Source organism: Homo sapiens, chromosome 9, assembly GCF_000001405.40.
Source record: "Homo sapiens chromosome 9, GRCh38.p14 Primary Assembly".
Taxonomy (NCBI): Eukaryota; Metazoa; Chordata; class Mammalia; order Primates; family Hominidae; genus Homo; species Homo sapiens.
Window position 1 is genome coordinate 4,533,841 of NC_000009.12, and position 17,892 is coordinate 4,551,732.

General features: G+C 40.4%; 1 protein-coding gene across 7 annotated transcripts in view; it reads left to right on the plus strand.

The window, feature by feature from the left end:
* The window catches only part of SLC1A1 (solute carrier family 1 member 1), a 97,002-nt gene that overhangs the window by 43,373 nt on the left and 35,737 nt on the right, over positions 1 to 17,892 (plus strand). For 6 of the 7 annotated variants that reach the window (XM_011518007.2, XM_017015042.2, NM_004170.6 and 3 more), the window contains one exon: positions 10,727 to 10,867. The exons of the other annotated variant lie outside the window; for it this stretch is intronic. In XM_011518007.2, the coding sequence (XP_011516309.1) occupies positions 10,727 to 10,867 (141 nt within the window). The remainder of the gene's footprint in view (positions 1 to 10,726; positions 10,868 to 17,892) is intronic. 7 annotated transcript variants of the gene reach the window in all.

Here is a 17,892-nt window from a genome sequence, read left to right on the forward strand (position 1 = left end):
GAAATTATAACAAACTGTCTCTCAGACCACAGTGCAATCAAACTAGAACTCAGGATTGAGAAACTCACTCAAAACCACTCAACTACATGGAAACTGAACAACCTGCTCCTGAATGACTACTGGGTACATAACGAAATGAAGGCAGAAATAAAGATGTTCTTTGAAACCAATGAGAACAAAGACACAACACACCAGAATCTCTGGGACACGTTCAAAGCAGTGTGTAGAGGGAAATTTATACCACTAAATGCCCACAACAGAAAGCAGGAAAGATCTAAAACTGACACCCTAACATCACAATTAAAAGAACTAGAGAGGCAAGAGCAAACACATTCAAAAGCTAGCAGAAGGCAAGAAATAACTAAGATCAGAGCAGAACTGAAGGAAATAGAGACACAAAAAAACCCTTCAAAAAATCAATGAATCCAGGAGCTGGTTTTTTGAAAAGATCAACAAAATTGATAGACTGCTAGCAAGAGTAATAAAGAAGAAAAGAGAGAAGAATCAAACAGATGCAATTAAAAAATGATAAAGGGGATATCACCACTGATCCCACAGAAATACAGACTACCATCAGAGAATACTATAAACACCTCTACACAAATAAACCAGAAAATCTAGAAGAAATGGATAAATTCCTGGACACATACACCCTCCCAAGACTAAACCAGCAAGAAGTTGAATCTCTGAATAGACCAATAACAGGCTCTGAAATTGAGGCAATAATTAATAGCTTACCAACCAAAAAAAGTCCAGGACCAGATGGATTCACAGCCGAATTCTACCAGAGGTACAAGGAGGTGCTGGTACCATTCCTTCTGAAACTATTCCAATCAATAGAAAAAGAGGGAATCCTCCCTAACTCATGAGGCCAGCATCATCCTGCTACCAAAGCCTGGCAGAGACACAACAAAGAAAGAGAATTTTAGACCAATATCCCTGATGAACATCGATGCAAAAATCCTCAGTAAAATACTGGCAAACCAAATCCAGCAGCACATCAAGAAGCTTATCCACCATGATCTAGTGGGATTCATCCCTGGGATGCAAGGCTGGTTCAACATATGCAAATCAATAAACATAATCCAGCATATAAACAGAACCAACAACAAAAACCATATGATTATCTTAATAGATGCAGAAAAGGCCTTTGACAAAATTCAACAACCCTTCATTCTAAAAACTCTCAATAAATTAGGTATTGATGGGACGTATCTCAAAATAATAAGAGCTATCTATGACAAACCCACAGCCAATATCATACTGAATGGGCAAAAATTGGAAGCATTCCCTTTGAAAATTGGCACAAGACAGAGATGACCTCTCTCACCACTCCTATTCAACATAGTGTTGGAAGTTCTGGCCAGGGCAATCAGGCTGGAGAAGGAAATAAAGGGGATTCAATTAGGAAAAGAGAAGTCAAATTGTCCCTGTTTGCAGAAGACATGATTGTGTATCTAGAAAACCCCATTGTCTCAGCCCAAAATCTCCTTAGGCTGATAGGCAACTTCAGCAAAGTCTCAGGATACAAAATCAATGTGCAAAAAATCACAAGCATTCTTATACACCAATAACAGACAAACAGAGAGCCAAATCATGAGTGAACTCCCATTCACAATTGCTTCAAAGAGAATAAAATACCTAGAAATCCAACTTATAAGGGATGTGAAGGACCTCTTCAAGGAGAACTACAAACCACTGCTCAATGAAATAAAAGAGGATACAAACAAATGGAAGAACATTCCATGCTCATGGGTAGGAAGAATCAATATTGTGAAAACGGCCATACTGCCCAAGGTAATTTATAGATTCAATGCCATCCCCATCAAGCTACCAATGACTTTCTTCACAGAATTGGAAAAAACTACTTTAAAGTTCATATGGAACCAAAAAAGAGCCCACATTGCCAAGTCAATCCTAAGCCAAAAGAACAAAGCTGGAGGCATCACACTACCTGACTTCAAACTATACTACAAGGCTACAGTAACCAAAACAGCATGGTACTGGTGCCAAAACAGAGATATAGACCAATGGAAAGAAATAATGCTACCTATCTACAACCATCTGATCTTTGACAAACCTGACAAAAACAAGAAATGGGGAAAGGATTCCCTATTTAATAAATGGTGCTGGGAAAACTGGCTAGCCATATGTAGAAAGCTGAAACTGGATCCCTTCCTTACACCTTATACAAAAATTAATACAAGATGGATGAAAGACTTAAATGTTAGACCTAAAACCATAAAAACCCTAGAAGAAAACCTAGGCAATACCATTCAGGACATCGGCATGGGCAAGGACTTCATGTCTAAAACACCAAAAGCAATGGCAACAAAAGCCAAAACTGACAAATGGGATCTCATTAAACCAAAGAGCTTCTGCACAGCAAAAGAAACTGCCATCAGAGTGAATAGGCAACCTACAGAATGGGAGAAAACTTTTGCAATCTACTCATCTCACAAAGGGCTAATACCCAGAATATACAATGAACTCAAACAAATCTACAAGAAAAAAAAACAGCCCCATCAAAAAGTGGGCGAAGGATATGAACAGACACTTCTCAAAAGAAGACATTTATGCAGCCAACAGACACATGAAAAAATGCTGATCATCACTGGTCATCAGAGAAATGCAAATCAAAACCACATTGAGATACCATCTCACACCAGTTAGAATGGCAATCATTAAAAAGTCAGGAAACAACAGGTGCTGGAGAGGATGTGGAGAAACAGGAACACTTTTACACTGTTGGTGGGACTGTAAACCAGTTCAACCATTGTGGAAGTCAGTGTGGCGATTCCTCAGGGATCTTGAACTAGAAATACCATTTGACCTGGCAATCCCATTACTGGGTATATACCCAAAGGATTATAAATCATGCTGCCATAAAGACACATGCACATGTATGTTTATTGCAGCATTATTCACAATAGCAAAGACTTGCAACCAAGCCAAATGTCCAACAATGATAGACTGGATTAAGAAAATGTGGCACATATACACCATGGAATACTATGCAGCCATAAAAAATGATGAGTTCATGTCCTTTGTAGGGACATGTATGAAGCTGGAAACCATCATTCTCAGCAAACTATTGCAAGGACAAAAAACCAAACACTGCATGTTCTCACTCACAGGTGGGAATTGAACAATGAGAACACTTGGACACAGGAAGGGGAATATCACACACCAGGGCCTGTTGTGGAGTGGGGGGAGGAGGGAGGGATAGCATTAGGAGATATACCTAATGTTAAATGACGAGTTGATGGGTGCAGCACACAAACATGGCACATGTATACACATGTAACTAACCTGCACATTGTGCACATGTACCCTAAAACTTAAATAATAAAAAAAAAAGATGAAGATGTTTAATGTGGGGGAAATGCTTATGACTTAACATTAAATGAAAATTGCTTTTTAAAAAAATCACATGCGGCCGGGCGCGGTGGCTCACGCCTGTAATCCCAGCACTTTGGGAGGCCGAGGCGGGTGGATCATGAGGTCAGGAGATCGAGACCATCCTGGCTAACAAGGTGAAACCCCGTCTCTACTAAAAATACAAAAAATTAGCCGGGCGCGGTGGCGGGCGCCTGTAGTCCCAGCTACTCGGGAGGCTGAGGCAGGAGAATGGCGTGAACCCGGGAAGCGGAGCTTGCAGTGAGCCGAGATTGCGCCACTGCAGTCCACAGTCCGGCCTGGGCGACAGAGCGAGACTCCGTCTCAAAAAAATAAAATAAAATAAAATAAAATAAAATAAAAAAAAAAAAAATCACATGCTACAACATGGATGTACCTTGAAAACATGCTACGTGAAATAAGCCAGATACAAAAGGCTGCATCTTGTATGATTACATTTATAGGAAATGCCAGATTAGGCAAATCCATAGAGACAGAAAAGTAGATTAGTGGTTACCAGGAGCCCTTGGGGGTAGGGAGAAGTGGGGAGTGACTAACAGGTGTGGAATTTTGGGGGGGTAATGGAAATACTGGAACTAGACATTGGTGACAGTTGTACAACATTGTATGTTAAAAACCATGGAATTATATACTTTAAAATGGTAAATTTTATGTTATATGAATTTGATCTCAAAAAAAATTTACAAAAAACTACATATATAGCCATTAAAAATTATGAGATATTTCAGCAGAATACAGATTGTAAATAATTTTTTAAATTATAAGAGATAATACAAAAGACAATTCATTTGAAATGTTTAGTTCAAGGCCTGACATATAGTATGTGTTTAGTATATCTGAGACAGGTCTCAGTTAATTAAGAAAGCTTATTTTGCCAAAGTTAAGGACTCACCTGTGACAGCCTCAGGAGGTCCTGAGGACATGTGCCCAAGGTGGTCAGGGCACAGCTTGGTTTTGTACATTTTAGGGAGATATGAGATATCAATCAGTACATGTAAGATTTACATTGGTTCAGTCCAGAAAAGGCGTGACAACTTGAAGCAGGCAGGCAGCTTCCAGGTGACAGTTAGGTAAGAGACAAAGGTTGCATTCTTTTGAGTTTCTGATTAGCCTTTCCAAAGGAGGCAATGAGATATAAAATTATCTTTGAGCGGAGGGATAACTTTGAATAGAATGGGAGGAAGATTTGCCCTAAGCAGTTGCCAGCTTGACTTTTCCCTTTAGCTTAGGGATTTTGGGGCTCCAAGATTTATTTTCCTTTCACAGCTGCAATATATAAGGAAAAATAGAAACAATACAACCTTGGATGTATTTGAGTTGATTAGTTTGTGGATGAATTTTTGCATTTATTTTTATTGCAGGCAGAGCTGCTATAATATATTGCCAGTATAGTAAATACTTTATTTAAAGGATTTGAAAATAAAAAATAAAAGCTTTATGGACTCCAGCATCTGTGCTTTGAGCCGGAATTCCCGTGAAGAGCCTGTATTGGTGGAGCTACTCAGCTCTTTAGGGAGGCAGGAAGAGATGAGAAAGGGATACAGATTATTACAGCCTAAGGGCAGGATGGAGAAACTATCCGTCTATTTATCCACTGAATGCATGTAGTCATTTGTCAGTAAGTGTTCTTCTAAACTTATTTACTCATCATCAACGTTCATCTTAGATTAGCTCCCAAAGGGCAAAAAGACACATAATTAATTTGCTTAATGTAGTGCCTAGCATGATGACATGGTGAGATATGTTTTAGCAATAATTAAAAATACTTTTTCCTTTGCCAGTAATTCTTATTTAATCAAGCCAAAATTAATTTACATAGAGAACTACTCTATGGCTTTCATTTAAAAAAACAACAGATGATTTCAATCTCTTTTCTGCAAATACCCCAAAAGAAGAACAATGCTGTTTTCATAAATCTTAGTCAAATGAAACTCAGCTACTATCCCCAGGTTAATTTTATAACTGTAAAAAGTGTGTGTGCATAAGAACAAAGGCTGGTTAGGACCTGGAAAAAACGAGAGAGGGAGAGATAGACTGATGTAATGATATGTGACTTTTTTGTTCTTTTCTGATTCCCAGTATTGTTTCCTGAACAATATTTTTTTTATAAACTTAGCAACAAAAAACAAATCACTTCAGAACCTCTGAGACAAGGCTGTGGACTGGCAGTTGTTTTTTGAGACAACATGGAAGAAATGATATTCTGTGCATCTTCTCTTTTAAACTTTCATCTTTGAACTTAAAGATGATCCCTAGCTGAGATCATGGGTGTTTTCCTCCCATGTTTCTTTCTTTGTGTTTTACCAACTTATTTATTTATTTATTTTTTGAGATGGAATCTCACTCTGTCATCTAGGCTGGAGTACAGTGGCATGATCTCGGCTCACTGCAACCTCTGCCTCCCAGGTTCAAGCGATTCTCCTGCCTCAGCCTCCTGAGTAGCTGGGACTACAGGTACACACCACCAAGCCTGGCTAATTTTTGTATTTTTAGTAGAGATGGGGTTTCACCAGCTTGGCCAGGATGGTCTCAAACTCCTGACCTCGTGATCCATCTGCCTTGGCCTCCCAAAGTGCTGGGATTACAGCCATGAGCCACTGTACCCGACCTTACCAACTTACTTATATTTAGCATAAAAGCTGGAGAAAGCGATAGGGACAGGAGGCAGAGAAATTCTGGGCAGAAGAGGGCAGTCCCCAGCAAGGGCCTCACTCTGAAGCCTGGACCCATGGCCCAAAGTGAGAACATACATTCTTGTTTTCCTGCTCAAATGTTGCCTTTTCCAAAACCACCCATGGCCCTCCTGCCACCCATCATGTGCCCATAAAAACCCCAGTCTCCAACAGCAGAGAAAGGAGAAGAGGAGAAGCAGCTAGACATTGGAGAGAAGCAGCTTGACTTCAAAGGGATGGCTTGACAGTGTTACCTCAGGGAGGAGTCTGGCCAGGGATGGCCAGACTCTGGGGGAAGATTATCCCGCTCCATCCCCTTTTCAGCTCCCCTCCATTGAAAGCCATGTTCATCAGCAATAAAATCCTCCACATTCACCACCCTTCAATTCATTCATGTGACCTGATTATTCCTGGACACCAAACAAGAGCTCGGGTGCCATGGGTGAGGATGCTAAAGGCTGTCACACTGACCCTGTGCTCTCGGTAGAGAGCAACTGTCTCATGCAAAAAGGCAGAGGGCCCACTGAACTGTTGACACTTAAGCCGTCCGTGGATGGCAAAAGCTAAAAGAGCGCTGACTAAAACACATGCCCTCTGGGCCTTCAGGGGTAATGGGCACCCACTAGACACTGCCTCAGGACTCTGCACGGAGTTCACTCCAGCTGATGCCCAGAAGCACTCACCCTGGCTCCTGTACCTGCTCACCTGTGGACTCCCTTCTGCAAGGGGTGAAGTGCAACGGGTCCAAGTGAGTGGAGTTTGCCCCTGCCAGTGACAAAGCGGCCAGCTAGATCCAGCACCCGTGCACTGCAGTTCCCACCTGCAACGGTGTCAGGGAAATTTCCTGCTTCAAAAGCACAGGCAGCTTTCTTGGAAATGAGATAATGTGATCTCATTTTAAAGTTGAGGACATCAAGGCTCAGAGGTGATTAGAGGCATTAGAAGGGACTTCTGAAGACAGCTAATCTAACCCTTGAAAATAGGAGAAGTTAAAGTTATGGCCCAGGTTCCACACCTCACAATTGGTGGAACCAGGCTTGAGCCTGCTTGCCTAATACCAGTGTCCTTCCCAAGCTTCCCAAGCATCTGCTTGAAATTACCTGTGTCTGTGGTGGGAAGGAAGCGCAAGAATGGTGTCCTGTGTCCATTGCTGGGGCTTTGGGGGTCCAGGTACTTAGTTTACTTTTGAGAATTCCTTGTTGGCTCTGCTGAAGTCCTTCCTGCTACACCGTTCAGGGAAATTGTTGATCTTGTCAACCTGAAATAATCAAAAGGATCAGAATCCAGTTTTAAAGAGTTTATTCAAGCAAAAAGCTGGGAATAGCCATCCAAGAATCATGGACTCTAGAGAAATGGGGTCAGTGCTTCGAAGTTAAAAGTTAAGTACTTGCTTCTATACAGCAAACAAAGAAGTTTAGTAGGATTATAATATTTTCTATACAAGCCTGGTTTATGAGTGACAATTTAGTTCGTTTGTTTTCTTTTCCATACAGCTTGTTTTCGTTTCCTTTCCAATTTAAAAGCAAGTATTTAACATTCCATCCTAGTTAGTGTGATAACCATGAAGCCTTTGTGTGAAAGAGGAAAGAGGGAGGCTAGTCTATAATGAAGATCCATACTTAGAGAGAAAGGGTCTTCCCTGGCACCCTTTAGTAATTTATAACACTTTACCAAACAATGTAGGTAAGGAAAAGGCTAATCTATAATCAGAGAAACAAAGGTTACAGCTGCCTATTTATGTGACTCAGGTTCCATAATCACATTCCCTTAAGGCTCAAAATAAAGTTTCAACGGCTGAGATTTTCAATTATTTATTTTCACAATCTTTACCTTTCTTAGTTCTGGGAGTGGCCTTACCAGGTGGGCCTGGCCTGCGTACTCCCAGAAGGGCAGTTATTCCTAGCAGCCTTTGGCTTTGGGAACCTCTCCATAATTCTTAATCCAGCCCAAGGTTCTGACTCTGTTAATGGGTAAAGAAAGGTTATGCCCTATGAGACTCTGACCTCTTCTTGGGACCTGGAAAATCTTCTGGTGATTTTCCTCATCCCGAATCTGCTGTTTCTAAACTGCTTGAGACCAAGATAAAGCACACCAATTTACAAGGCATAACTCCTAGGTGAGGTCATTCACTAGCCATTTCTTGTATTTGAGGGTCTCAGTGTGACATCCCAACTTCATTTCCAGCACTAGATTGGTATTTCTATTCTTCTTTTTAGAAAGGAAAGGAGAGGGGAGGGGAAAAGGAAAGGGAGAGACACGGAGGGAGGGAGGAAGGAAGGAAGGAATATTGGAGTACAATTTGTGGCACTCAATTTCAAGAACAAGCTTGATAGAAAGTTGTAATTGCCAAATACAGTAACCTACTTGGGGTACATGTCACCTTTTATTGCTTTCAAGCTACTGTACCTGGCAACTCTTATTTCTCCCTTTAAAAAAATCCTGTATCTGGCTAAAGGCTGAAAAATAGCAAGTACATATCTTTCTAATGACCCTACATTAATTTAGCATAGAGATAATTAGAGGCACAGTTAATCATTAGTAATATAAGCCCTGAGATTGGGGCACATGGGTTTCTCTTGCTATTCAACAGAGTCCTTGTGTGGCTAGTGTTTGAGTACAGACACATCTTTATTTTTTACATACTGAGCTTTCTTTGACATACAAGCCAAAAATTTACTTGAAGCAACCTGAATAGTATGAGAGAGAATATTTGTTTTTTAAAGTCCTGGGAATTACAGCGTATCCTTAGGGCATAATATAGGTATGTTCATATAGAACAGCTGAACACAGGCAGTTTATAAAGCAGGAAGTGAGCACATCGTACTTTTTAAATTTATTTAAAATACTTTGAATTCTTGGTGTTCTTATCCATTCAAGAGTCTCTAACACTAGGGTTGTAAAATAGAAACCAAATAGCATTGATAATAGAGTTTTGTTTCATCTTTGTCTTAGCTACAATTTGGGAAATGTTTATATGTTTGTTCCAAAAATGATTTAAAATTGTGTATTCACAATGCAGTAGTGTGTAAACACTACTGAATCACCAGAAATGCATCCAGTAGTGCATGCACAAAATAGAGATCAAGGCAAAGGTAGAATAGGGAAATAAAATTAAGCTAAGGATAAGGTTAGTATACAAAATGCATCTTGTGAGGTTCATCTATTTGGTCTACTAGTGGGCATGGGAAGGATGCCTGAATTTAAATGAAAATTCTAGTACTGATTATAATTCACATATTCTTTCATTGCCCTAGAGTTTTTAATTGTGCCCAAATAAGTCTTGGTATTCACAAACTAATTACTTGAGTTTTTAGGTTCACATACCAGTGATATCCTCCTTGAATCTTTCTGCCACTTAGTCATTTTACTTCCAAATATCATGACATCCAACAGAGGCCGATGAAGGAAAAAAGATGCAAAAGTCATCCCATTTATTTTTCTGCCTTAAAATAAGAGTGTGTATATTGGGAGAAGGAAAGGGTAAAGCAGTTAGATGTTATTAGAAATACTTGGAAGAGAATAGAAATAAAAATTTGTGATTTTTAGTTATTAAAGTCATCATTAAATTGTGTTATCCATACAACTGAAGGATTTCAATATGGGCATCTTGTTAAGGAAAAGCTTTCAGAGAATGGTAACATTTCTTAATAGTGAACATGTCCCTACACTCACATAATTATAAGACTTCATGTACAAGGTACTCAAAATCAGAAACTTTGTAAAAAGCCTTTTAATCAGATAAACCTGAATATATCATTATCTAGAAATAACTGAAAAGAGTGCAAAACATTAGAGAACAGTCATTTGATAATATGGTAAATAAATCAATAGGCTATTATATTCCTATTAAAATTATAAAAGTTGCATAAACAGGAAAGATTATACAAATATACCATAAAAAGTACTTATAATAAAAATATGAGAAAAATACAAACTGATATGTAAACTATAAAATATGTAAAATAGCCAAGCATGGTGGTTCACACCTGTAATCCCAGCACTTTCGGAAGTCGAGGTGGGCAGATCACTTGAGGCCAGGAGTTCGAGACCAGCCTGGGCAACCGAATGAAACCCTCTCAAGAAAAAAATACAAAAATTAGCTGGACATGGTGGTGCGCATATAGTCCTAGCTACTCGGGAGGCTGAGGTGGGAGGATCGACTGAGCCTGGAAGGTTGAGGCTGCAGTGAGCCGAGATGGTACCACTGTACTCTAGGCTGGGTGACAGAGTGAGACCCTGTCTCAATAAAAATAATAAAATATGTAAAATATCTCTGCAGGTAGAAAAAGGTGGTGTGTGAATGCAAAAGAGTTATACTGGATTGACTAAGATGATTTTTTTTCTCACAGTATTCTTTGATATTTTGTCATAATAAGTGTAATTGATAGCGAAGAAATGACAACAAAGCTTTCATGTATAGAATACTTTTTACAGATTTACTGAATAATGTGTACTTTCTGTTCACTGTCTTTTAAAATATAATTTCAGTCTAGATTTTACAGACTCATGGGAAATGATCTAAACTATTTTTCTTGCCATTAAAATGTGCATTTGGGAGTATTTTTCCATAGACATAGATACAGGAGAACTCAATAATGTTCCTCTTCCTTCTTTCCAACTCTTGTTTTCCTTAGGCATTACCACAGGAGTCTTGGTTCGAGAACACAGCAACCTCTCAACTCTAGAGAAATTCTACTTTGCTTTTCCTGGAGAAATTCTAATGCGGATGCTGAAACTCATCATTTTGCCATTAATTATATCCAGCATGATTACAGGTACCTTGAGAAAACAGATGTTCTCTATATTAGTCCATTTTCATACTGCTGTAAAGAACTTCCTGAGACTAGGTAATTTATAAAGGAAAGAGGTTTAATTGACTCACAGTTCATCCTGGCTCAGAAGGTCTCAGGAAACTCACAATCATGGCGGAAGGCAAAGGGGAAGCAAGACAACCTCCTTCACAAGGTGGCAGGAAGGAGAAAGGCTGGGCGAAGCAGGAAGAGCCCGTTATAAAACCATAAGATCTCGTGAGAACTCACTCACTATCACGAGAACAGCATGGGAGAAACTGCCACTATGATTCAATTACCTCCACCTGGTCTCTCCCTTGACACCTGGGGATTATGGGGATTACAATTCAAGATGAGATTTGGGTGGGAACACAAAGCCTAACCATGTCATTCTCTATGATTATTTAAAAAGCTTTCACCTAAGTTGTTCTTTTCTAATTACGGGAAAAATTGAAATACATTAGATGTCTCTCTCTCTCTCTCTCTCTCTCTCTCTCCACCTCTCTCCACTTGGAATGTCTATATTTGCTTCTGTGGAAACATTTTACTGTTCTCAACATGGCATTGCTTTGTCATATGCTGTGCCTACAGCTCTGTCCACCACTGCTCAAATCTTCATTTGACCAGCATGTGATGTCTTGGGAGGAAAATGTCATTTTCAAACATATAAACAAAACGTTATCTGGGGCATGGGAAAAAAAAGCATATTTGGTCACTGAAATGTCAGCTAGTGTCCTCAGGAAAAATATAGTTGTCAATTTTGATCATGTTTTCAGCCATTCACTCATTTATTTCCCAACTGCAGCTGTGCTGCCCCCAGCCTCTCAGCAGCTGCCTTCAGGGTCTCTGCACTCCTTACCCACTTTCTACTCAAAGCCAGAACTTGCTATGTGTCTGCCCTGCATATTTGCTGTGGGGACCAGCAGTCAAGTTCTGTGAGAAGGGTTTAAATATGGAAGTGCACCATATTCGAAAAGCCTAGTATTTTTAAAACTTGTGACACAGTTGCATTTGGAAATGACTTTTCCCTTATTGATCATTACATTGCAGGGCTCCTTTGAAGAGGAAGCTTCCTTAGGTAGATAGAGATGAATTTGGTTTACAAAAATGTCATTTGTCTGGCTGTGATAAGTTTCTCTGCATTGCAGTTTCTTGTACTTAACTCTGGCAATTAGTAAAATGTGGCATGACAGTAGCTGGTGGTGTTAGATTGAAAATCAAGGTTTTATGTAAACATGCAATTAGAAGTCGTGACATGTCCCCTTCTAGAACATTTTTCTCCACTGCCACTGTAAAGGTCTGGGACTGGCCCTGGTAGAGTACTGGACGTTGGTGGGGGCACGGGAGGGTGGGGGTCAGGATCTGCTGCATTCAGGGACTGCATTGCTTGAAGAGCTGTCACATTTGGCCTTTGAATTTCCCAAATGCCAAACTCGAATTAGACTAGAGTCCCTTGGGAGCTTTGTCCTTAAATGGTCTTGATGTTCTCGGCTTATGAGAAACCTAAAGAGAACATTTAATTATTTTTATGAATGTATTTAATTACGTTTGGAAATGCCTGGTTCCTTTTAACCCTAGCAACCTGATTGACACAGCCGCAGACCAATTATTTGTCCCATGTAATATTTGTTTATTTGTTTAAATTGTCATAAGCATTTAAAATTGGAAAGATTTCATGTAAATATCCAAATTGCTGGCTTTCTCTGAAAAAAAAAAATGAAGATCTGGGAACACTGGCCCAGTATTTCCACCTATCAACGGTGGTCTGAAACCAAGAGACAACTACTCCATTTAGCTGGAGCAAATGCATTTGAGAATGCCATAGTCTCCACTACTCCCGATTGCCCAGTACTTTGTCCACTTCACTCTTACGTTACCTGCCTGGCCGCCGTAAGGATGGCAGTTATAATCCCTTAGAATCTTCTCCATATCAAAGATTCTTTAAAAAAATGTTTTTAAACATGGGGTCTTGATATGTTGCCCAGGCTGGTCTTGAATTTCTAGGCTCAAGCAATCCACCCACCTCAACCTCCCAAAGTGCTGGGATTATGGGCATGAGCCACTGCATCCAGCCCAAGATTCCTAATTTTTTCTTGGGCTCCTTTGAGAATACAATGCAAACTTTGGACTTCCTTTCGAGAAAAATCTTCACAATTGTACATATATACTATATTTTGCACGCAATTGCACAAGGTGCATAAACCACCTGATGAGCAATACTATTGAACTCATGTGTCTATGAGGGGAAGTATAGAAGATTGATCCAAATTATGCAGCAAACCCAAAACTCGAGGTAAAACAGGTTTTAGAAGAAAAGGTAAAAATACATGTATGAATGTCTAATTCTGTAATATCAGATGTTTGAAAATACATGCCACTCTTGACAGTCAATAACAAGTGAGTTTTGTTTTGGTTTGGTTTTTTTTCTGGGAAGTATAGCCTTTGGCCAGAAGCCAGAAACAGATACTTCCTCTAGTGAGATTTTTGCAGTCTGGATGTTTTGTGTGTTAGCTCAGCCTTGCAAATAATCTAGGAAAATAATTTACAACTCAGCATTCCACTGACATAGCCCAGCTACTTTTGAAGCTATAGCATGGATCAAGTAGTTTCTCCACTTTTCCTCCACCAAACCCCCAGCAGCCAGTCAAGAACTAGAGGCAGCGAGCAAAACCACCACCCCATCTTTTGATTTGGAGCAATGAAATAGTCAAAGATTCAAGGGATATGAACAAAGCAGGGTGGGGACAATGATGGCATATCCATGTTTTAAATTGTCAGATTAGAGGGAAAAGCAACAAGACTAGTGTTGGCACAGTTATAGGAAAATAAGTTCATTCATACACTTTCAGTTACCTAATAAATTGGAACAAACTTTCTGGAGAACAGTTTGGAGCATGTTCTGATCTCTTCACCCAGTAATTCTGTTTCTCAGAATTGATCATAAAGAAATAATCAGAGATATGTTCAAACTCCTAAGTACAAGGATATTCATGGTAGCATTTTTTTGTAATGGTGATAAATTATAAGCAACCTAAATGTATACAAATTTATATTGTATACATATGTATACAAATTTATCTTTTATACTATGTATACATAGTATACAAATTTTCATACTAAGCAACTATTAAAAACTTGTCTTAGAATCATATTTAATTACATGTGGGAACATTCCCAATACAGTATAAAGTGGGAAAATAAAATTACACAACAGGATAGTGTATACAATCCAAATTTTATTAAAATGTATATACATTTTTAAAAGTTGTGATCAAAACCAAAAGGTTAACATCCAGAAAGTAAGAAAACATGATCTGTTCTGCTTTCTTTACATTTTCAACTGAACCTGTGTTTTTGTTTGGTTTGTATTTTTAATGAAAGAGATGGGGATGGAGTCTGGCCTGAGATCCTCCAATTTTGCCTCTGGTCGCTTCTCTGCCTCATCTCTGCTCCCTTCCCCTGCCGGCTCAGTGCCACCTTTACCTGGTACACAGCTCCTTCCTCCAGACCCTGAAGTAGTCTTCAGCCTCCCTACCCAGAAGATGGCCGTGGAAAACACACAGGAAGGGCCATTTCACATTGCAAATGCCCTCATGAATCCAGCAGGCTGGTAGCTTAACGTATACAGTTATTAGGCCGAAGGAGGATGCAGGTGGGAAGCTGAGGAGGGTTGAATGAGTCCCCTAAGGATACGTAAATTAGAAGCAGAAACACAGCTAGAATTCAGACCCAAGATTAATAATCTGTGCTCCTGCATAAAGGAAACTCTCTTGCCAAATTAACAGGTAGAAAAAAAAATTCTGCCATCAAAGCCTCTGGTGAGATTAAAAAAATACTTTATAGCTTTTTTAAAAAACAGGAAGAACCCCTTTTTATGTGATGATAAGGTTAAGAAGCCAAATTTACCAGGGAAATTTGAACATAGACTGGCTGTTAGATGGTATCAATAATTTGTTAATGATTTTGTTAGAGATGATGATGGCATATAGTTGTATAAGAAAATGTCCTTACTTTTTAAATGCATATGGAGTTATGAAATGACATAATGTCTCAAATTTACTTTAAAACAGAAAAAAAAAATGGCACAGTTGATATAAACTCAAGACATTTTCAGAGACAATCATTGTGGGTACCAATAGAATCCTACCGATAAATTACATTGTGAAGAACATGCTCCCGCCCTGCTGAGGAATATCTGTGTTTGGGATCTGCTAACATTTAGGCTTGTAAGCCGTATTTATGTCAAAGCACCAGAGAAATAACAGGAAATAGCTTATGAATATGCCTGAGAATTGTGGCTCTGGAAAAATCCTGGTCCAGCCAGTGAGTTTAAATTCAGGTCACATTTTCTTTACTACTTCCCAAAATTAAACTATGATGATTGGAGCCTCCTATGACCAACACAGGGACAGAACAGCACCTCCAGTCCCGCTCCCAGAGGTCCCCTGAGCATCCTTCCCGGATGCTCATAACTTTGCTCAGGAAGAGGTTGCAGCTCTTCCACTTTAGCCTCTGCCACCCCCGCCTGGGCCAGAAGCACTCCAGTGGGCACAGCTGCGCCTCCTGGTGTCTGCTGTGGCTGCCACTACCCCGGTGACCTAAGGAGTTCCGCTCTTTGCTCCTCCATCCTAAGACAGGAGCAGAAGCTTAATTCTCCAAAGTGCAGCTGAGACCACACTTCTACTCAGGACATAATCTTTGCTAAAGGTAACCAAAAGCAGATGAAACACCAATGGTGACATCCAACTGCTCCCTGAAGGGGCTCCCAGGGCCTCTTAACAGGGATGCCCCTCTGCTTAGCTGCTTGCCTCCAGGAGGCTAGAGTTCATCTCTAAAGGTGTTCCAAGCTTTCCTGCACCCCAGATCCCAGAACCTGACACCAAGTTCTAAGAAGGAAAAATTCCGCTATCACACAGGCCATCCTGTCCTGACCTGGAGTGACCTCTTCCTGGGATGCTTGCCATTGTGGAATATCCACTTCAGAGAAAACCCCCCTCACGGCCACAGGGGGATAGCCTTTCCTCGTGGACCCCATCAGGAGCCTTCCATAGACTCCATACCATAGTACCTGCTGGGTTATTGCAACCACCCTGCTTGTAGAACCTGGGAGTCTGTCCAGGTCAGGCTGGGCCAAGTCCATGCCAGTTCCTGTGCACATTTCTTCCTCCAGAGCAAGGAGTTGCTCATTCCTAACCCTTCCTGTGATGTCGCAGCTCTGGATTTCCTAAAAACGCCTGCTCAAACAAGGGCACACACAGCTCCTCAAGAAACAGCACCAGTTTGCAGCTCAGTGGATGTCAAGCCAAGCAGATATCAAGCCAAGAAAACTCCCTCCTTTCCCTCCTCTCTCCCCCAGGCCACTGAGTGTGAGTCCTAGTACTGATTCTGCTTCCTGGACAAGTCACATTATTAAACACTAGACGTCAGGAGAAAATATTTGCGTTTTGTTTATCAATGACTTTCAGTTTCCACCAGACACTGGTTGGGTGACTGGATTTACAATTGAGGATCTTCTCCAAAGATAAATTTAACACTCTACCCTTGGAAGATTTAAAAAACAAAAAATGCTCCAGACTTTTAGATGATTGTTACTCCAGCTTTCATGTTAGGATTTCAAAATTTTTAGGGCTTGACCTCAACCATAGGATCAGAGGTTTTCTACTACTTTTTGTTGGGAAAGGGTGGGAAGACAGGGTCTCATTCTATGGCCCAAGCTGGAATGCAGTGGTACCAGTATAGCTCACTGTAGTCTTGAACTCCTGGACTCAAGCCATCCTTCCACCTAAGCCTTCCTAGTGGCTGGGACTACGGGTGGCCCACACCACCATGCCTGGCTAATTCTTACTTTTGTCGCGATAGGGTCTTGATATATTGCCAGGGCTGGTCTCAAACTCCTGGCCTCAAGTGAGCCTCCCACCTTGGCTTCCCAAACTGCTGTGATTACAGGAATGAGCCACCACACCTGCCCTACTTTTTAACCAAGTAAAAAAGTTTAAAGCCTTATAAAACCTTAGGTATATTCAGTATTTATTAAACAACAGCCAGATGTAGAATGCATATGTGAGTTGGTTGCCTTTCAAGCAAGGATTTTTCTATGAAGGGCCCAATAGTAAATATTCTAGGTTTTACAGGTCCTGTGTATTTTGCCCAACTACCCAACTCTGTTTGTCATGGGAAAGCAGCCACAGACCGTATGTAAATGATTGAGGGTGACTGTGTGCCAATGAAACATTCATTTACAAAAACAGGAGGCCAGCCAGGAGCTGACCCCTGCCCAGCTAGACTCTGACACTCCAGATGCAATCTAGTTGAGGTTGAATCCAGGTAACAAAATAAACTACCACATCAGGCAAGGAGTATGAATGCACTGAAGAGACTGAAGAATAGAGGGTGAGCAGAATAAAGTGCAGTTGGTGATAGTTTTAGAGCACCTTATTTGTAAACTCAGGCTTTACAGCAGATGACACACTTAAATCTTTGGGGCTGAGGAAGGCTTTTTTTTAAAGGCTATGTATTCATTTACTCAGAGGCAGCTGTGTATCTGGAAACAATCCCACATCCTCCTATGAAAAGAACCATGCCACGTGCCTCCCCGAGACAAGGTTCAGTTTTATTCAGCTAACATTTGTTAACTCCAGCTGCATGAAAACAGACTAACAGAAAACCAGGTATAAGAGGGTGAGGCCCTACCACTCACATGGTCATGGAGCTGAGGTCATCTGATAGTCAGGTCCAGGAGTCCCTCGTTAGCAAGAATTGCAAGACTTGAAGACGCATATCACTTTGTTGTACAACTTGCTATTAAATGTAAGCTACTGTTCATAAACATAGGTGGCTAAGAGCATTTAATGTCAATTTTAGCTACGAGGGAGGAGTATGCATTCTTTTCTTGAAACATTGGTGGTCCATTATACAGTTTAGTTTCTATGAAAATTGCCATTCAAGGTGGTTTATAAACTTAAAACTCCAGGCAGGAAGACAAGTTTGTTGCCTAAGACTGTACAGTCTGA